The 20,220-nt window shown below is 40.2% G+C and overlaps 1 protein-coding gene across 9 annotated transcripts in view; it reads left to right on the top strand.

Annotated features, from left to right (window-relative positions):
- ADGRF5 (adhesion G protein-coupled receptor F5) overlaps nt 1–20,220 on the top strand; it is a 102,418-nt gene that overhangs the window by 74,652 nt on the left and 7,546 nt on the right. For 5 of the 9 annotated variants that reach the window (XM_005248893.4, XM_005248892.4, XM_005248895.5 and 2 more), the window contains exons 9-17: nt 249–470; nt 1,883–2,086; nt 8,275–8,445; nt 10,922–11,041; nt 11,196–11,405; nt 13,151–13,363; nt 15,091–15,246; nt 17,192–17,400; nt 19,394–19,573. In XM_005248893.4, the coding sequence (XP_005248950.1) occupies nt 249–470; nt 1,883–2,086; nt 8,275–8,445; nt 10,922–11,041; nt 11,196–11,405; nt 13,151–13,363; nt 15,091–15,246; nt 17,192–17,400; nt 19,394–19,573 (1,685 nt within the window). The remainder of the gene's footprint in view (nt 1–248; nt 471–1,882; nt 2,087–8,274; nt 8,446–10,921; nt 11,042–11,195; nt 11,406–13,150; nt 13,364–15,090; nt 15,247–17,191; nt 17,401–19,393; nt 19,574–20,220) is intronic. The other 4 variants (NM_015234.5, NM_001098518.2, XM_017010422.3 and 1 more) reach the window with 3 other exon arrangements.

Genomic DNA, 20,220 nt, shown 5'->3' with positions numbered 1-20,220 from the left:
CGTTAAGGAGCCATAGGGCAAACACCCCAGTCGGGAAACCCTGTCCCTGGCATGTGGCAGGACATACCTCCTCAGGGCTCAGACACCAGCTGCATGGGAATGGAGTGAGGAGACACATTGCCTCAGCCAGTTCAGCACCACAGATGCTGTCAAGATCTCCAAGAGCCTTGTGGTGGTTGTGTGTGGTGAGTAGCATCAGTGACATTTATTTGCTTTGGGATCTTATTAACTTTTCTTTGGGTTTCCAGATGAAAGCAATTTCTTTGTCACACCAGAAATCATCTTTGAAGGGGACACAGTCAGTCTGGTGTGTGAAAAGGAAGTTTTGTCCTCCAATGTGTCTTGGCGCTATGAAGAACAGCAGTTGGAAATCCAGAACAGCAGCAGATTCTCGATTTACACCGCACTTTTCAACAACATGACTTCGGTGTCCAAGCTCACCATCCACAACATCACTCCAGGTGATGCAGGTAGGTCTCCATTCAGTAACTTGTGTGAGGAATGGAATGAAGAGCTTATAAAGAAGCAAATATGTAATAGTGTTTTACGTAGCTATGTAGATAGTGTTTTTCTCTTCCAAAATAAGTCTCCTGGTTCAACCTTTCAAAACTGAAAATTAATCCGATATGTATTAGTCCATTTTTACACTGCTGTAAAGAACTACCTGAGATTGGGTAATTTATGAAGAAAAAAGGTTTAATTGACTCACAGTTCTGCATGGTTGGGGAGGCCTCAGGAAACTTACAATCATGGCAGAAGGCAAAGGGGAAGCAAGGCATGTCTTGCATGGCAGCAGGAGAGGGAGAGAGGGTCTGGGGAATTGTCAAACATCTGGTTTTAAACCATCAGATCTCATGAGAACTCACTCCCTATCATGAGAACAGCATGGGGGAAACTGCCCCCATGAGAAAATCACCTACCACCAGGGCCCTGCCTGAACATGTGCAGATTATAATTCGACATGAGATTTGGGAGGGGACACAGAGCCAAATCATATCACCGTGGTATTAATTGTTAATTAATTTTAAAATTCATTATTTTCATTATTTGTTTTATTATAGTATATAATATAATTATTTTCATTATTTTGTTTTAGTATATAATATTACTTTATTATTAATTTAATTTTCAATTGATTTTTAAAAAAATTTAAAATAGCTTTGTTGAGGAAGGAATTGATATATAATAAACTGTACATATTTAAAAAGTCTTGACACACGTGCACCTGTGAAATCATTACTACAATCAAGAGAGTGAACGTATCCATCGTTCTCCCTGCCCTCACCAAATTTTCTGGTTCTCCACTGTTATCCCTCTCTTCGGCTTTCTCCTGTCCTCTTGCCCGCTCCAAGCAACTACAGAAGCAAGCATAAGGCTTAATTCTTCCCTAAGACTAGTGGTGAACCTGACATATTCTGGAATGTAATAGCCGCATTGTAACTCAGATGCCAATGGGGCCATCTTCTTTTCTCTGCATGATGAGGTGGGCTATAGACATATGGGTCCTATCACATAGTTGTTGATTTTGATTTACAACATGGTTAAATACTACGGCAATATTACCCATCTTTTTCTAATTCTCCAAGGCTTTTCGATTTTTCTTTTCTACTTCTTCTATTGTTATACTTTTTTTCTTATTAGAAAAGTCCCTAAAATTTCTACTATTTCCTTAGAACATCTCTGTACTCCACTTTGTGGCATGAGAAATATCTGCACTTCCTGAATTCCTGAATGGTTTTTTAGGCGTCTTTAGACCAAGTCTCAGATGCTTTTGAAAATGATACTTCATGAAGTACTGTCATGATCCATGAGCTGACGGTACATTCCTCTAAGAAAATACACATGTGTTATAATAATACATGATTTTGTGTATTTTATGCAGGTGAATATGTTTGCAAACTGATATTAGACATTTTTGAATATGAGTGCAAGAAGAAAATAGATGTTATGCCCATCCAAATTTTGGCAAATGAAGAAATGAAGGTGATGTGCGACAACAATCCTGTATCTTTGAACTGCTGCAGTCAGGGTAATGTTAATTGGAGCAAAGTAGAATGGAAGCAGGAAGGAAAAATAAATATTCCAGGTGAGAATGTTAGATAAGCCCTTTTGCAAATAGGTTTTTGCCTCTTGGCCAAGTAGAAATGGGAGATGTGGCGTATGGAAGGGGAAATGTCAGATGGCTGTTATTTTCTGGATTTCAGACTGTGAAAAGGCATTAGGTTTGATGCCAGCTCCAGCTTAGCCACTCTAGAACAAGACCCCAAAAATATATGCACACAAGTGTCGTGCTTTGGTTGTAGATGAGATCCCAGCAGCAGAAGACCCAAGAAATTAGGATCCCGATGACTTAGGTCGATGGCATTTTGGATCTAAAAAAAGACAAGAAAAGCTTGTGCTCACCTTCCTTTCATCTTCAGCAAAGAGCTAAGGATGAGGTCATTTGTCATTGAGGTCTGACTTGGAGCTTCTCCTTTCTGTGTCTCTTCTCCTGGTGTCTGGTCCTTCTCACTTCTCTGCCTTTGTATCTATGCATACCTCAATATTTTCTATCTCTGTGCCTCCAGCTTTATCCCTCTCTCTCTGCAGACCTGTTTGTCTCTCAGTCATTTCATATGATTTCTGATCCTGTTAGCTTTTGTTTTCAATCTGAAATCTTACCTAAAGTTCCCCACCCTCCAGTTTATATTGATGAATAATAATAATGGTAATAAATTAAAACAGCAATACTGACTCTGTTTTGTATAACAGTTTATGATTAACCCTTTAAAAAATATGTTACTGCTTTTAAATTGCTTGACCACAAATTTGAAGCATTTTACTTCCAATTTGCAAATAAGGAAATTGAGGTTCAGATTATATGACTTATCCAAGGTTGTCAAATATGAAAAAAAAGAAAGAAGAAAGAAAGAAAGAAAGAAAGAAAGAAAGAAAGAAAGAAAGAAAGAAAGAAAGAAAGAAAGAAGGAAGGAAGGAAGGAAAGAGAGAGAGAGAGAGAAAGAAAGAAAGAAAGAAAGAAAGAAAGAAAGAAAGAAAGAAAGAAAGAAAGAAAGAAAGAAAGAGAGGAAATAAATTAGGACTCACCAAAGGTCTTGTTTCACAAAACCAGTGTCTGTCTTGGCCAAACTATATTATGCATGCCTGGTGGGCCAGCACTGGAATGAGCTAGTCAGGCAGAGTTTGAACAGTGTTTTACCTAGAAACTGCATAGAGCAAGATCCAACTCTTCTCTTAAGAAACAACAGTATAATGCGCTTATCTGTAAAGAAAAAGTCTTTAAAGTAAAATGTGGCTTTACCCATGAAATACATTAGTGTGGTGAACCTTCATTTTACAAAGCCTTAGCTATGGAAATTGATTAAATTATTTTTAAAAAATTATCAGAACAGGGGCGGTGGCTCACGCCTGTAATCCCAGCACTTTCAGAGGCCGAGGCAGGTGGATCATCTGAGGTTGAGCATTGGAGACGAGCCTGGCCAACACGGTGAAACCCCATCTCTACTAAAAATACAAAAAATTAGCTAGGTGTGGTGGTGTGCACCTGTAGTTCCAGCTACTTGGGAGGCTGAGGCAGGAGAATCACTTGAACCCGAGAGGCCGAGGTTGCAGTGAGCAGAGATCATGCCACTGCACTACAGCCTGGGTGACAGAGTGAGACTCTGTCTCAAACAACAACAACAACAAAAACTATCAATTTACAGGCAAATTTTCCTAAGCACATGTAATTTCCAAAGGACAGTTCACCTGCAAGCATTTGTATTAGACATAAGTACTCAGAAGAAAGGCATGTGGTAACAGCTGAAAATGTTGACACATGATACATGGAGTCACTTCCCTGATTTCTAAGGAAGAGGAGGTGTAGGTATCCTGAAGGAACTGCCAGATGGAAGAAAGGCCTTGCACAATTCCTGTGGTACTGGCTTAGAAGCTTTCAACCCCGAAAGGTGAAAAACCTGGCCTTCTGGCAAAGGAATCAGGAAGTCTGTGGCGCAGATGCTTAGAGCGGGATGAATGACTGCAGAACAATGGATTTCCTGCCTCAGGGCTGGCAGCCTGGGGACCTGCACCGTGGTTTCTCTGATGGATTTAGCCTCTGCCTTGGCACCCTGCCCTTCTTTCTCCTGCCCTTGCTGCTTCCTCTCTGCAGCTCTCTTCTCCAAATTCCACAAGTTCTACTAACAACCATTTTTCCAAGTCTGTAGAACACAATCAAGCAAAAGAATTTACCCAAAGCATTTGGAACTGAATGAATGACCTGCTCTCATAAATGGTCGCATATTCAAAGCACTCTGGAAAAGGATGAGACGGAAAGGAAATAATCAACAATGGCAGAATTTCTAACTTTAAGAAACTAAAATTCAATGAAGATTTCCTCCCACATGGGAAAAAAGTGAAGGAGTATTCTTTAAGGGTATCAACGCAATCACAAAATAGTTATTGTGGTAGATTCAATGTATTCAACTCTGGTTTTTTTGTTTCATTTTGTTTTTTGTTTGTTTGTTTGTTTTTTGAGATAGAGTCTTGCTTTTGTCACCCAGGCTGGAGTGCAGTGGCGCAATCTCGACTCACTGCAACCTCCGCTCCTGGGGTTCAAGGGATTCTCCTGCCTCAGCCTCCCGAGTAGCTGGGATTATAGGTGCCTGCCACCACACCCTGCTAATTTTTCTATTTTTAGTAGAGATGGGGTTTCACCATGTTGGTCAGGCTGGTCTCGAACCCCTGACCTCCACCCACCTTGGCCTCCCAAAGTGCTGGGATTACAGGCATGAGCCACTACACCTGGCCTCAACTCTGTTTTCAATGTTTACATTTATCATCTTGGTTTTTCTCCACTCCCCACACAAAGTCTTGCAAAGCAGGTACCATCACCACCATTTTATAGAGGAAGGTCTGGGATGTCATCTAATTTTGAACAACAAAATTGTAATTGCATACCTTCTCTTCTCCAGAAAGCAAAGTACCAACTTATTAGCTGCATTCAGTACCTCCCATGCAGGGCTCCTGGTTGCACAGTCCCAGGGGTGTTGTAGGAAACACGATGTGAATGATGCCAATTTGGAAGTCCTGCTTGTGTTTTCTGAGTTTACCACCTCTTTGGAGCCTTTTCTCCACTCTTTCTCTGAATCTCAGCCTAACAAAAGTAGTTATTGTTCTCTGAACAAGACCTGCATGCTGCTGCTTCTGTGTTTTTGCTTATAGCAGTGGTTTTCTGGGTTAACAGTAGAATCCATTTTTCAAGCAGAATCTTGCATGGCTGTCTAATGCAAGTCTTCTCAACTCAGCACTATTGACATTTTGGGTCAGATAATTCTTTGCTGGGTGGAACTGTTCTGTGCATTGTAGGATATGTAGCAGCATCCCCAGCCTGTACCTACAAGATGCCAGTAACATCTCCAGTTACAACAACCAAAAATGTCTCCAAACCTTGCCAAATGTCCTCCAGGGAGGCAAAATTGCCCCTCATTGAGAGCACATCTAATGTGTAAAGCAGACCAAAGTGGAGCTGCTGTGGTTAGAAAAAGGGTGAAGGGATTGGAGCCCACACAGTTTATTATCCTTCCACCCCCCTCAACACAGCCCCAGCCCCTGAAGCAGCTTGATGGAATGCCAAGTTTTCCAAGGAGTATGGATTTACTCACACACAACCCACATACAACCACATACCAGAACTACAGCCGCCATTTCTATCTATTAAAATCCTGAATGTCTGTTAAGGCCTAGAGCAAATCTTCCCCTTCTCTGAAATCTTCCCTAATCTCTCAACTAAACATCCCTCCTTTAATCTACATAACATATTGACTTCTTTCTTATGGAACCTACCCACTGCACACTATCATTATTTCTGTACATCTGTTTATACACTCCTTCTTGCATAGATCATTGTCTTGTACATTAGTTTGGTGAGATAAATGGGTCTTTAAGGATCAGTAAGAATCAGCAGGAGGAAGAGGGAATGAGAATATTTCAGGTGTGAACAGAGGCATGGAGGTGCAAAGCTACAGGGCATGTTCAAGCCCCAGGAGATGATCTAATTTTTCAGAGAGAGCTATAGAAGATAAAGAGAAGAGAAGCAGATTGGAATCACACTGTGAATAATTGAATATACCAGGCTAAGAGGGATTTTACTGTATTCTGTAGGCAATGGTAAGGTTTTAAAGGTAAAAAGAGGGACATCAGATGGTGAGAGCTGAACTTAGGAAAAATAAGTTTTAAGGTCTGATAGCCAATAGATTGCAGGGGCAAATAACTGAAAATAGAGACTCAGCTACAATCATGTGTAATGGGCAGACCACAGATAATGGGGTCTGAGCAAGTTACCATGGGTAGGAGTGGATAAGACAATAGTGAGATATTTCAGAAGAGTAATCTAAAAGTTTCTTACAACTGAGTAGGGGTAAAAGGTGAGTGCATGCAAGTAATTTAGGATTTTTTGTTTGGGGAAATGCCAAGTGCAAAGAAAGGACACATTGGAAGATGTACAGGTTTTATCTGGGGAGAAAAAAGATGAGTTCTTAAATGGACCAATTGAGTTGAAGGTACCGAAGATGTCAGAGCAACACTTGGGAATTTGCTTCTAAAGTTTCCAACGAGAGTGTTGCTCTTAGAAATAGAGTGGGAGTCATCCAAATTTGAGCTATACTAGAAGCCATAGGTATAGATGAGATTGCCTGCAGAGAGAATAGAGAAAAAGATGAGGAAAGGGGCAATCTTTGAGAAGAGGATGAAGGAAAAGAGCCTGAAAGGGAGACCCAGAAGGAGGGATGAGGAGAAAAGAGGGGCGGGAGACATCTAGGACTCAAGCATGCCAAATCAGAGAGAAGGTGGTCAGGAGAATGGGATGCTGCAGTCAAAGTAGCATGAGGGGAGGCCACTGGATACGGGAAAGGGGAGGTCACTGTTGGCCTTAAAGGAACACTTTCGGTAGAGGAGAGGGTGAAGAAGGCCAATCGCAAAGACTTGATGAGAAACGGGAGTGAAAAATTGGAAGTGGCAAACACAGAAGCATGGTGGTATGAAGAGAGGAAGAAATGCAGTGGTGGCTAGGGAGCATTCAGACTGGGGAAAGACCATTTCAGGAAGGGAGACTTGAGTGTATCTGGGGGTTGAAGGGGAGGAAATCTGGGAGGAAAGATTAAAGACACAGGGTGAGGAAGGGCAAAGGATGAAGGGATGTCCTGGAAGAATTAGAAGAAGTGGATTTTCAAAAGATAAGTGGCGGGGTGAGCCTTAGAGATGGGCACAGACACTCATGTCTGTGAGCTAGGAGGTAATTTAGTCAAGATAGATAAAGAGGGAAATCAGTTTCGTGTTTCAAACAACCTTTCTGGGGTCTAGGGAGAAAAGCTAGTTACATGTTGATTGAAATATGTCAAATATCATTGATCAGCCACGGCTGAAAAAGACACATTTACGTTGGAACTAATCAAAAGGCTTATTCTTTTTCCTTCATTTTCGGAAGATTGATAGTGTTTGAAGATTCCCTTAGGAGTGCATGGCAGCAGGCAAGGTGGAAGGAGGGAGAGTAAAGGGACTAGAGTAGGAAAAATCAGCCACAGGGTGTTGTAGAACCCGAGGCAATAGGAAAGATGGCATGGAGGGCATGGTATTTCTGGGAAAGGAAAGAAAGGTATGGAAAGGGAGCTATTTTGAAGGGGAAGCTGCTGGTAACTGAGAATGCATGAAGTTGAAGTTTTCACTAAAACATAGAGATTTAAACAGGGAACATGCTGTGAAAAATGCTCAAATAAGATGAATATCAGGTGCCCCAGTATTGCTTCTTCCCCTTTTTAATAATCATAATAATCTAAATAATCTGACATCTGTTCTTCCAGTTAAATCATACCCAAACAGCTTGCTTCTCTTTTTTTATTGTTCACATTCAAAAAACCATCGCTCATGGTCTTTGTTGGGGAAGGCCCCAGTCAGGTACTTTTCTAAGAGTTTATGTATATTATCTCATTTAACATTACGGTGGTCCTGGGAAGTAACTGCAATTATTAATCCTCATTTTACATCTGGAGAACTGAAGCACAAGGTGGTTAAGTGACTGTCTCAACAATATCTTGCTAGTAAGTGATGGAGTTTGGGATCCGAAGCCAGGCAACCTGGATACAGAGTCTGCAGACCTAATCACCATAAACCCAACTTCTCCATTCAGAGAAGAAATCTATTTAAATAGTAACTCCTTTTATGAAAAAAAAATGATTTGACCTCTTTGCTACTAAATAAAAGAGTTAGCCAGCTGGGATGGCAACAATTTGCTTCTCATTATAGGAACCCCTGAGACAGACATAGATTCTAGCTGCAGCAGATACACCCTCAAGGCTGATGGAACCCAGTGCCCAAGCGGGTCGTCTGGAACAACAGTCATCTACACTTGTGAGTTCATCAGTGCCTATGGAGCCAGAGGCAGTGCAAACATAAAAGTGACATTCATCTCTGTGGGTAAGGACTCTCCCTAGCATTTTTAGCCATAAATAGGTTCCACCTTAAATAAGTGCTGCCAGTGATCTGTGAGCTATGGAAATATCTATGAGCAAAATAATGGACAGAGAGGGAGTGTGGTTAGGGCAAATCACACAATGGGAGATAGAAAAGGATTTCTCTCTCTGCCATTTAAATTCAGAGGGAGTCTTTTAACAATTGGGGATGGTTGTGGTAGGACACAGTGGTTCCCAGGAAGGAACCCCGGGGCATTCTCTGAGTAATGCAGGAGGTGGAGTGGGAAGTAGGGTTTCCCACTCAGGTTATCCCTATTATCATTGAAGGTGTAATGAGGATAATGTCCCTAATTTTCCCCTTTTCCCTCATTACTTCATTCTCCCATTCTTGAATTCCAACAGCCTGGCTCACTCCCCTACTACTCCTCAACACCCTTCCTCATTCCTCCTCTCCCATTTCACCTGTTCCAGAGACAATGCTGCAGAAAGCCTTAATAATCTGATTCTTTCTGGTTATTTTATGGTTGGAACGAGTGATTTGTTAGTCTCTCAATTACTTGTTTAGTTAGGCTTCTTAAAATTGTCATTTCTCCCTATATCATAAAGCATTATAATTTCACCCCACGTGTAAAAAGAGGACATTCAAACTTGTTTTTCCACCTGTCTTACAAAAATGAACAATTTAGATTAATCATTAGACCCTTTTGTGAACAAGTTTAGAGAAACGACTGATATAAGCAACACTTGTTAACTGTCGTTCATGTTTTCTGCTATTGTGACTTAGCATTTTTACAAAGATCAAGATTATGTTTATGTGGGCGTAATCTATCTATATATCTAATATATATCTATAATATATAATATATAGCTATATAATAATCATATATCTACAGGTAGAACAGTTTTGCATTCCTAGTTTTAACAAAGAGTTGTGTTATGTTCAAATAATCAAAACTGTTCTCACTACAGAAAACTGCAAATTGCTCAAAATACTCATGAGCTCTTCTAGCGAAATAATGCTTTCAGGTAAAACTAATCATTCTCCAAATTACTTAACATAACTTTACCTCTATCCACAAAACTGGGACCTGTCTTAGGGACATGTTAAGCCTTTGCTGAAAATCACTAGTCTGGTAGTTTGGAATCTCATCAGACAATCAAGAGGACCAAATTCATGGTTCCATGAGCCTTTTTCTTTTTACTCAAAGAAATAGCTAAGCCTTAGAGAGCCATCTCAAGATGCCTATGGATGGGGAGGGCAATGCAGGGACATATTACACCTTCTTTGAGTGGCTTTGGGCTGTCTGAACATTTGAATCCCAGCTTCTAAATGGTAACTGTAAAAAGCCCTGATGTCATTGGATTATGATTAAGAATAAGATTTTTAGGCCAGGCATGGTGGCTTATGCCTGTAATCCCAGCACTTTGGGAGGCCAAGGTGAGCAGATGGCTTAAGGCTAGGAGTTTCAGACTAGCCCCAGCAACATGGCAAAGCCCTGTCTCTACCAATAAAAAATAAAAATAAAATTAGCCAGGCATGGGGATGTGGGCCTGTAGTCCTAGCTTCTTGGGAGGCTGAAGCATGAGGATCAATTAAGCCCAGAAGATTGAGGCTGCAGTGAGCCGTGATTGTGCCAGCCTGGGTGACAGAATGAGACCCTGTCTCTAAAAAGAAAAAAATAATAATATTATTAATAATAAGATTTCACACTGACTGGGTAAGTAGGCCAGCATCAGTGGGCTCACAAAATGAAGCTGTTCACTTATAGAAGACTGAAGTGAATGGTGTTTTGAAATATCAACCATGTAAAGATATACTCAAAGAGAAGTGCACAGTTAGACAAAAATAGTGGGAAGCTCATATAAGCTTTTATATTTATATTTTATATTTGTAATAGTCTTATTAATATTTTTGATTAGTAATTTTTCATGAACCTGTGAGAAGCTTCTTAGAGGAGTATATATATAGTGAAACTAATTACATATAAATACTTATATTGCTGTAGTTATATAGTTATAATTAAGGTACCTGTACATCCCAGTTTACCTGACAGTGCAGGTGTAATTATTAGGTTAGTGCAAAAGTAATTGTGCTTTTAGCCATTACTTTTAAACCAACTCATATTTGGGCAATACAGGCTATGATTCTTGTACTTAAAATGTAGTTCCAGAATTCACTCTTTCACTTATTAAGCATTGACTGTGTACTAGACCCAGTGCTGAGTACTGGGGATGCAAAGACACAGAGGCTACAGGTCTGCCCTTGAGGGCTCACATTTTTATGGAGGGGAGATATTAAAAGAGAGAAAATAATACACAATGTGGTATTATTAAAAAGTATTTTAAAAGAGTAGAGATTGAGATTGTTAGAGGAACCCGGCCATTTGTTCTCCCTTAAGGTGTTACAGAGGAGGTTGGAGGGGAGCGTGGGATAAGGCGACACCCCTAAGTTTGCAACCTTTTACCCTGCTGATCATCAGGAGATAATTCCAGCCACAAAAGTGAAGTGCACGAGGTCCTAAGGCATGTGATGGAAATGAGTACAGTGCAGAGCACCACCAGGAACAGCCTAGAAACGAGTAAAGCCCAGGAGCAGCAAGGTACCAATTCTACCTTGACATGAGTAGAGTCAGGATGGTTCATTTTTTTTTTCTGTCCCTCTCTGAAGTTTCAGTCATATGTTAATGTCCCCAGAGATACTACACATTGAACTTGTCAGTTTTCTTTTGTCTGTTTTGTTTGCCTTTTTTTCAGCCAATCTAACAATAACCCCGGACCCAATTTCTGTTTCTGAGGGACAAAACTTTTCTATAAAATGCATCAGTGATGTGAGTAACTATGATGAGGTTTATTGGAACACTTCTGCTGGAATTAAAATATACCAAAGATTTTATACCACGAGGAGGTATCTTGATGGAGCAGAATCAGTACTGACAGTCAAGACCTCGACCAGGGAGTGGAATGGTGAGTGAAAGGCCGGACACCGTATTGTGCTGCCTGGGCTCTTGGAAACATGCAATAATAGTTACCATCTGTGTAGGGTCTTCTTTGAGACATGCCTATGCCAACCACTTTAAATTCAATATGTCTTCACACTTAACGCAACATTCCTTTGAGGGAAGATGCCATTATTTCCATATTTACAGATAAAGTAAATATGCTCAAACAACTTAAGTTCTAGAGCCAGGAATGGAACTAGTGTCTCTAATTCCAGACCCTGTACCCTTGCCATTAAGTTATGAGGATTGTTTTTAAAAGTACTTTCACTAGACACTAGGGAGTGTTTGACCCAACTGTGCTTTAGAACAGCTAGGTAAAGATTTTATAAGCTTGGTTCCAAAAAAAGGAACACATTTTAATTTCCTGTTTACCTCTATCCATTGTTTGTTTTGTGAGGAAATGCAAATCTTTGAAAGCAAAGAGAAATTGGTAGATAGAACTGCTACAATAATAGCTCATATTTATTGAGCCCTTAACTATGTGATAGGCACTATGCAAAGTATTTAAATGTATTAATTCATGTGAAACAATAAACCTAGAGGATACTGTTATTATTAGCCCCATTTTACAGATGAGGAAACTGAGACTCAGTAAAGTTAAGTAAATTACCCAAGGTTATACATCTGGCAAGTGGCAGAGCCAGGATGCAAACGCAGATTGACTGGCTCCAGTGGTCAACTCTTAGCCACCCCACTCTAAAGCCTTTCATTAACTATGAGATTAATCAGTCTAGATTCCGTGAGTCCCATGTCTTCTTTTTATTTTCATATAAGGCCTAGGCAACATTGTAGAAACAACTAGTTATTGTTTGGGCTGGACTTGGTAGTATACAGTCAGGAAATGGAAGTATTTTTCTTCCAGGCTGACCTCAATCCTGCTCTGTCCAATTACTCTTTCCTACTAAAAGCCAATAACCTAGGAAGAATTTTAGCTTTTGCAGTCACATTAATCTATTAAACAGTCCCATAATCAGTTATTGAAAAGTCATATTCTCATCTAAATCTACTACACTGTCATTTTATATTCAATTTAAATTCCCTCTTCCCCCCCGCAGCAGGAATTAAAAGGAGTTTCCTTTCTTTGCTCGTTCGCCCTCTGGTTAGCTGCTGCTTCTGACTTTTCCAGAGCTGGGGCAAAGGGAAGCAATGTAAAGAAAATTGAAGGGTCTTACTTAACTGTAGGTGCTGTTGTAATCTTGCTGTATGTCTCCATGGCAGCTGCCCAAATGATGACTTGTCCTCTGGGGCCATGATGAGCAAGGGCCTGCTCACTTAGAGATGGGAGATAGGGGTGTCATAACACCACAGTGTTCCATCAGGTTAACAATTATTGTCAAAAAACTCCCCACCTCTGCGCACGGCAAAACTCCCATTTATTCCTTGGGTTGGTAGAAAAGCCTTAGAGTAGAAATTGAAAACCTGGTTTGAAATCCAATTTTGCCGCTAACAGGCTGTTTGGCCTTGAATAAGCCACTTAATTTTATTTGAAAGTAAGTGCATATTTACGTGGTCATTGGTTAGTCCTTCAAGTGCATGGAGAACCCAGAAGAGGAATCAATCAAGCATTTTTTCCTCCAGTGTCCAGGAAGTTGTGGTATTCCTTTACTAAAGCTTGAGAGGGAAAATTAAGCCTCTTCTTAACCTTCCCAGCAGATGCTTTTGAAGGGCGATTATTTCCATTCCATCTCATTTTTGCCGTCTTCTACTCAGGAACCTATCACTGCATATTTAGATATAAGAATTCATACAGTATTGCAACCAAAGACGTCATTGTTCACCCGCTGCCTCTAAAGCTGAACATCATGGTTGATCCTTTGGAAGCTACTGTTTCATGCAGTGGTTCCCATCACATCAAGTGCTGCATAGAGGAGGATGGAGACTACAAAGTTACTTTCCATACGGGTTCCTCATCCCTTCCTGCTGGTAAGATGCTGATTGCTGAATTGTTAGGGTATATTATTTCACATATGTGGAGTCTAAAAATTTAGTCTTAAAATAGGGATCAAGAGACATAGGATTGTATCAGAGATAGAATTAACAGAGTAGAATCCCATGAATCTTTGTTACCTTCTATTTTGCTATGTGGCTAGTGGTTCATTGGTTTATGGTACAATCTTGGGAGTTTGCAATGGTGGAGCCTTTTTTTTTAATTGGGAGAAGTTGAAGAAAGTATTGAGATACCTTCTAATGAATATGGCAGACTAGATATTCTGACAATCTTTTCCTCCATGCTATAAAGTTGCATGCCACAAAACTGCCATGAAAATCCCTTTAAATGCATAATTGAGCATGTAAGAAAGTATGAGAAACAACCAAGTGCCAAAAAAGTAGAGGAAAATAAAATAGAAATGATGCTTTAACTAATGCTGGAGCTTTCCTATGGGCTTTTGCCAATATCAGAAACCCAGAACCTTGGGTTTTAAGGCTCCAGAGGGCATAAAAGTAAAGACTGTGCTCCCTAAACACACAATGGGTCACTCACACCCCATTGACACAATGTTAAGACCTTCAAAAAGTGGCACATTCAGTAAGAGACTAAGCTAGGAAAACAAAATTCATCTGCCAGAGTTGAGACCTTGGCCTCATCTCTGGGTGGACAAAAGGTTTCCCCCAAAAAATATAGTTGTCCTGCCATCACTCAGGTTTGGGCTTTGAATTTATATTTCCTTTGTGGTTCAGGAGTGCCAACCTAAGTTTAAAGTTGTCCATTGGTAGCACCCTATGTCAACCAGCAAAAAAAGAAAAAAAAATCAAAGTCTCTCTGGTAGATGGTGCCCTTAATCCAGATCCCTAGGGATTCCCAGAGATTAAGGTCAACCAGCATGATCTCACAACCCAAAAATCTCAAAACACAGACAACTTCATGAGGGATTTACAAGCTCATTCATTTTTTCAATAACTATTCTGGAGGGCTTACTCAACGCAAGACACCATAGTAGGCAATGAAAGGGAGAAAAAAGAAGTGGGGCACATATTTTAATATCTAGAAGGGCCCATGCCCTGAAAGGCAATGCATATAATATAAAATATCCAAATAGAATAATACAGACTAAAAAAACAGTAGAAGTTCAGAAAAGTGGGGACTCAATAAACACTGTAGTCTTTAAAGAAGGCTGCATGGCAGAGGGATATAATCAATCTGGATTTTGACATATGCAGCATTTCAACATTCTGTGTTTAATATGCATACATTCAGTGCTTTCTATGCACCAGATACTGAGCTGAGCACCAGGAGATGGAAAGATAAATAAGACAAGGTACTTTCTCTCCAGGAGCGTATGGTCTAGTAGAGAAGACAAACTCATGAATAGGTGACTATATACCAATATGGTAAAGGCAGAATAGGATAAATGCTCAGAGCATGATGAAATTTAGATAGGGAGAAGGATTTGTGGAATGCTGAAAAGGCATTCTGAATGTCAAAAATGTGTGACTTGGAGTCATGAATGGTAGAGGAGAAGTTTTGACTAGCACACATGCAAATGTGGGCTTACATACTTCAAAACCCAGAGGTAAAACCTGTTAAAAATGAATGTGGCACATTCCTCGGGAAAGCTTGGACAGGTTTATTCATATTAGGTTATCTTAACACAATTTGTGCATTAGAGACTCATGTTGTGACTTAATTCTTTCAATAATTCTGTCTTCAGCAAAAGAAGTTAACAAAAAACAAGTGTGCTACAAACACAATTTCAATGCAAGCTCAGTTTCCTGGTGTTCAAAAACTGTTGATGTGTGTTGTCACTTTACCAATGCTGCTAATAATTCAGTCTGGAGCCCATCTATGAAGCTGAATCTGGTTCCTGGTAAGAACGTTTTAAATTACTTTAAGATGTTATAGTCAGGGCAGGGACTTATTTATTTATTCACTCCCTCATTCATCCCCATTCAATAAACATATGTTAAATACCCTCACTGTGGTAGGCCCTGGGCTCACCATAGTGGTATTTAAAAGAAAAGAAATAAGCCATGTCCCCTGGCCTCAAGCCTAGGGAAGAAATCTATGTGATAAAAAAATGTTATTGGCCGGGTGCGGTGGCTCACGCCTATAATCCCAGCACTTTGGGAGGCCGAGGTGGGCAGATCACGAGGTCAGGAGATCAAGACCATCCTGGCTAACACGGTGAAACCTCGTCTCTACTAAAACTACAAAAAATTAGCCAGGCATGGGAGCATGCACCTGCGGTCCCAGCTGCTCGGGAGGCTGAGGCGGAAGAATCGCTTGAACCCAGGAGGCGGAGGTTGCAGTGAGCCAAGATCGTGCCACTGCACTCCAGGCTGGGCGACAGAGAGATTCCGTCTCAAAAAAAAAAAAAAAAAATTATTACATGTAATACAGTAAGAGCTAAATAGAAATGTTGTGGGTGGCTTAGCTCTGCTAAAGGAGTTTACCAGGTGATTAGAAGTGGACAGTATCAATGTGGTTGAGGTCCTTTGGGGTTTCAGCAAATGAAAGGTGTCCACACTGCACTGTTTTTCTGAGACAAGGCTACATGAAAACAATTAATCTCGAGAATAGGCAGCTGCCTTTCCCATCCTTTGCCACCACTGAGTCAATTTGCCATCACATAATATCTTTGAGGTGAAAGTTCATGTTTTACAGAGTCATTGCTATGCTAGCCCATGTTGGGGAGCTCCCCTCAGCAGCAGGGAAGGATAGATCATCCTAATACAAGGTCATCTTAAGGGAGAATCTTATGTTAAGACAAGGGGTAAATGATGACCCTGGGCTTCTACCATAAGCAACTCCTCATCCTCTTAAATCTTCCCAGCAACAGGACTTGTGATAGACAAAGGATCGTTATCACCAAGATTGTTTGAGTTTACTGAATAGTTTGTGGTCATTCTCACATGTTGGCAACTAGCCCCTGGGCACCAAAACAGGAAACAATTTAGAGTCACTTTCACCTGACCTTTCCACGCACAAGTACAACCCCTCCAGGGTGCAGCAAAGGTCACCTCTTCTTTTCCCCATCACTCATCTTAGCCAACACATTTTATTCACTTATCTTTGTTCTTCTCCTCTTTCTTTATACCAAATATGGTTTCGCTTCTTTTTCCTAGTAGAACATTACTTATTTAAGATTTATATACAGTGGTTAAGATCTTAATGTTAAAGAAAAGTGTTGGTGAGGGAGGGGTCTCATCAGAGTCAGGGTCCACTGGACATGAGAGATTCCACAGCAAGTGTCATTTCCCCATCCTTGCCTGGTCATGAGAAGAGGTGAAATAGAATCACCTCTAAGGGAAACCAGAAGGAACAAATGCTTAAACATATTGATTAGAATATTCAGGTCATGGGTACCTAGAGTTCCTACTAGCAATTATGTCTTTGGATTATGGCAGTGATTCTCAACCTTGACAGCACACTGGAATCACCAGGGAGGCTTAAAAACCTGCTGATGCCTAAATCCCGCTCTGACGATTCCGATTTACTTAGCCCAGACACTGGTGTTTTCAAAAGCTTCCCAGATGATTCTAATATGTCACAGTTGAGAATCTCCAGATGAAGGTATAAAATTCTGTTAGGAAAAGGAAGTTCCGATTACAGAAGTCAGGTTCATGTGGAAAGCAGAGAGGGGCTTTGGAAAATCAAGGGCAAAATTAAGAAATTGGGTAGTTCTGAAAAGGTGACGGAAAGTAAAGGTAAATGTGAATTCAAACATCAAAATTCTACCTTGGCCTGACCGTATTTCTACTATATTGTCTCTTCCTTGCAATTATCCCTTTATTTCAATGTTTCCAACACAGGGGAAAACATCACATGCCAGGATCCCGTAATAGGTGTCGGAGAGCCGGGGAAAGTCATCCAGAAGCTATGCCGGTTCTCAAACGTTCCCAGCAGCCCTGAGAGTCCCATTGGCGGGACCATCACTTACAAATGTGTAGGCTCCCAGTGGGAGGAGAAGAGAAATGACTGCATCTCTGCCCCAATAAACAGTCTGCTCCAGATGGCTAAGGTGATCCTTAAAGCTTCCACTCTGAGCTCTTGGTGGGGCGATCTATCTGGCTGATCATATTTCTCAGCACTTAGGAAAATGGGTTTGGTGCTGCTTTGTGTTGCTCCAAAACTACTTTTATTTGTGTATTTCCAAAGGAGATGCAACCCTAGAAATGCAAAAAAAAAAAAAAAAAAAAAAAAAAGCCTCAATTCAAATACTAAGACAACTAAGTATGTGTTCTGCTCTCAGACCGACTAGATACCTTAACCTTGACTTCTCAGTACCATGTGTTCCATACCTCCAGGGGGCAGCGGTATTATCCTCTCTCTTATTGCTCTCCTTTGAGTAATTTTGATACCAAGAAAATTGCTATAATCCTTTCAGAAAAAGGAGCAATATAAAAAAACAAGCTTCATCAATTTCTTTAAAAAAAATAGCTGGGCTTGATGCTCTTACAGGTATGAAATTTTCTGACTACTTGGAAGTAACTTGTGCTTTTGAAGAAGCAACTACCCTGCCTCTCTTACCTATAATAGAGGTTACCGCTATGTAACAGGGCAGAAGTTCCTTTCCTTCTGTCAATGTAAAAAAATGGGACCTCCACACTTGATTTGTTGTTAGACTCCTAAAATTCCATGAATTACATTAAAAAATTCTGGTGATGCAACTGGTGAGGTTATAGGTAATGATGACATCTTCAGACAACCAATTCCAAATCCTCTCACCACTGGGTAAATAATTGAAAAAAAGGGTAATACTTATATGTGTTTCATCTAATTAACTTCTATCTCTTCTCTTGTCTCACACCAAATTTATTAAAATCTCTACTATGTGCAAAGCATGATTATAGGTGCTGTCAAGGTAAATGGGCCAAATCAGATCTTTGTCTCTGGTAAAGAAAATAATCGAATTGGGTAGTTACATACACATTAATTTGGCTAAGATAAATTAAGAAGATCTGCTTGAAAAAAATAGGCATCTGAGCTGGACCTTGATGAATGAGGCATGAGAGATATAAATTATCCTAATGAAGAAAGATAGAAATTGTAATCTGAACTCGATGTGGGCCCAAGTCCCAATTCTAGATACCTACATACATTTTCAATGGAAAAGGATCATGCTGCTCTATCATGCTTCCTTTGATTTATCCATTCAGCATATACTTACTGGATACTTACTGTGTGCTGAGTTATATGACTTGTACTATGTTAGGAATTATAGGAATGAGAAGAATGTAAAGAAATGTAGCACATGGTCCATGTTGTTAAGGAGCTTATAATTTAATTGGAGCAATATCAAAATTAGAACACAAGATGACACTACTGGAGATGCCACAAATGAAAGTATGTTATATAAAACCAATACTTACGCATTCAGAGGAAGGAACTTTCCTGGGTTGGAACATCTATCAAATGCTTTTCGTAGAAGACAGAATTTGAGCTATTCTATACGATTAAGTAAGAGAGAGTTAGAAAGCAGAAGTGTAATCATACAGGTAGGGTGACCATATAATCTATCATCTAAGTCGGGACACATTTTGAGAATATAAGAGGGCACTCTTAATAAATACACAAGGAGAAAAGGTATAAACCAGAACAGTCCCTGGAAAATTGGAAGGGTCAGTCACTTTAATGATTGGCAGGGTAAGTGATATGAGGAAAACCAAAAAGTGGCAACTGTGCTTCCATACCGACTATCCAAGTGACCATTGCACCCAACTTTAACCTACTTCTCTAGCCATCACATCTAGCTTCCCTTTTTTGTTCCAATTAGCTATCAGGTTGACATACATTTGTTCCCCTTCTGTGTGTGGCCTTATGTCATATTCTGTTCTGAAGAGCATGCATGGAGTGCTTAAGGGATAAGCACATCATCTTATGGGACATATTTATGGAAATGGAGCAAAAAAGGAAACAACGGATGTGAGAGATTTTGCCAGGAATGGATCAGCTGGATTCGATAGCTGAATTGATTGGTAAATTTTTTTTTGTGTTGGCTTTTGTTTTACTAGGCTTTGATCAAGAGCCCCTCTCAGGATGAGATGCTCCCTACATACCTGAAGGATCTTTCTATTAGCATAGACAAAGCGGAACATGAAATCAGCTCTTCTCCTGGGAGTCTGGGAGCCATTATTAACATCCTTGATCTGCTCTCAACAGTTCCAACCCAAGTAAATTCAGAAATGATGACGGTGAGTTTGCTTAACCTTTGCAGGAGTTTTGGGTCTTACCTTTTCACCCCTCAGAATTTGTATTCAAGAAACGTAATTCCTCCCCATTGCAGCTTCTCTGTCTTTTCCAGAGCAGTGCTCAGGATAGTTCTGCCAGCTATGGCTTTTAGGATATTAGGAAATGTTTCCAGTATTCATTTTGAGACCTTAAGAATATTTATTAGTGAATCTCTGCTTTATTTTCTTCATTAAAATGGAATAAATTCATACTTGCTTTCCAGAAAAACTAGGAATTAAAGGTTTTCAGAATATACAAGATGATATTCTCAAAGGTCTAGCACTAAATGTGAACTTTAAAGGAATCGTGGGAGGATAGGTTCTGGAAGCATAGAGGTTCTGGGAGGATAAAGAATTCACCTACAAGAGTTCAAATGAAGAGACTTTAATGAAGGGATACCTACAGAGGTAAAGACAGGGTTAACAAACAAACAAATAAACCAGGGGTGATGAGGCACTCAGAGACCAGCAACATTTAGAAGCCATTATCACCCCCTAGGAAAAAGAGGAAACAGTGCAGAGCCCAGTGAGAGCTGAAGACTTAGAGGCGGGACCAGTCAGCAGGAGCTATAGTCTTGGAAGGCCAGAGCTATAACCAGACATGTGCTCAG

Source organism: Homo sapiens, chromosome 6 (genome assembly GCF_000001405.40).
Source record: "Homo sapiens chromosome 6, GRCh38.p14 Primary Assembly".
Lineage (NCBI taxonomy): Eukaryota > Metazoa > Chordata > Mammalia > Primates > Hominidae > Homo > Homo sapiens.
This window is presented reverse-complemented; position numbering and strand designations above follow the sequence as displayed.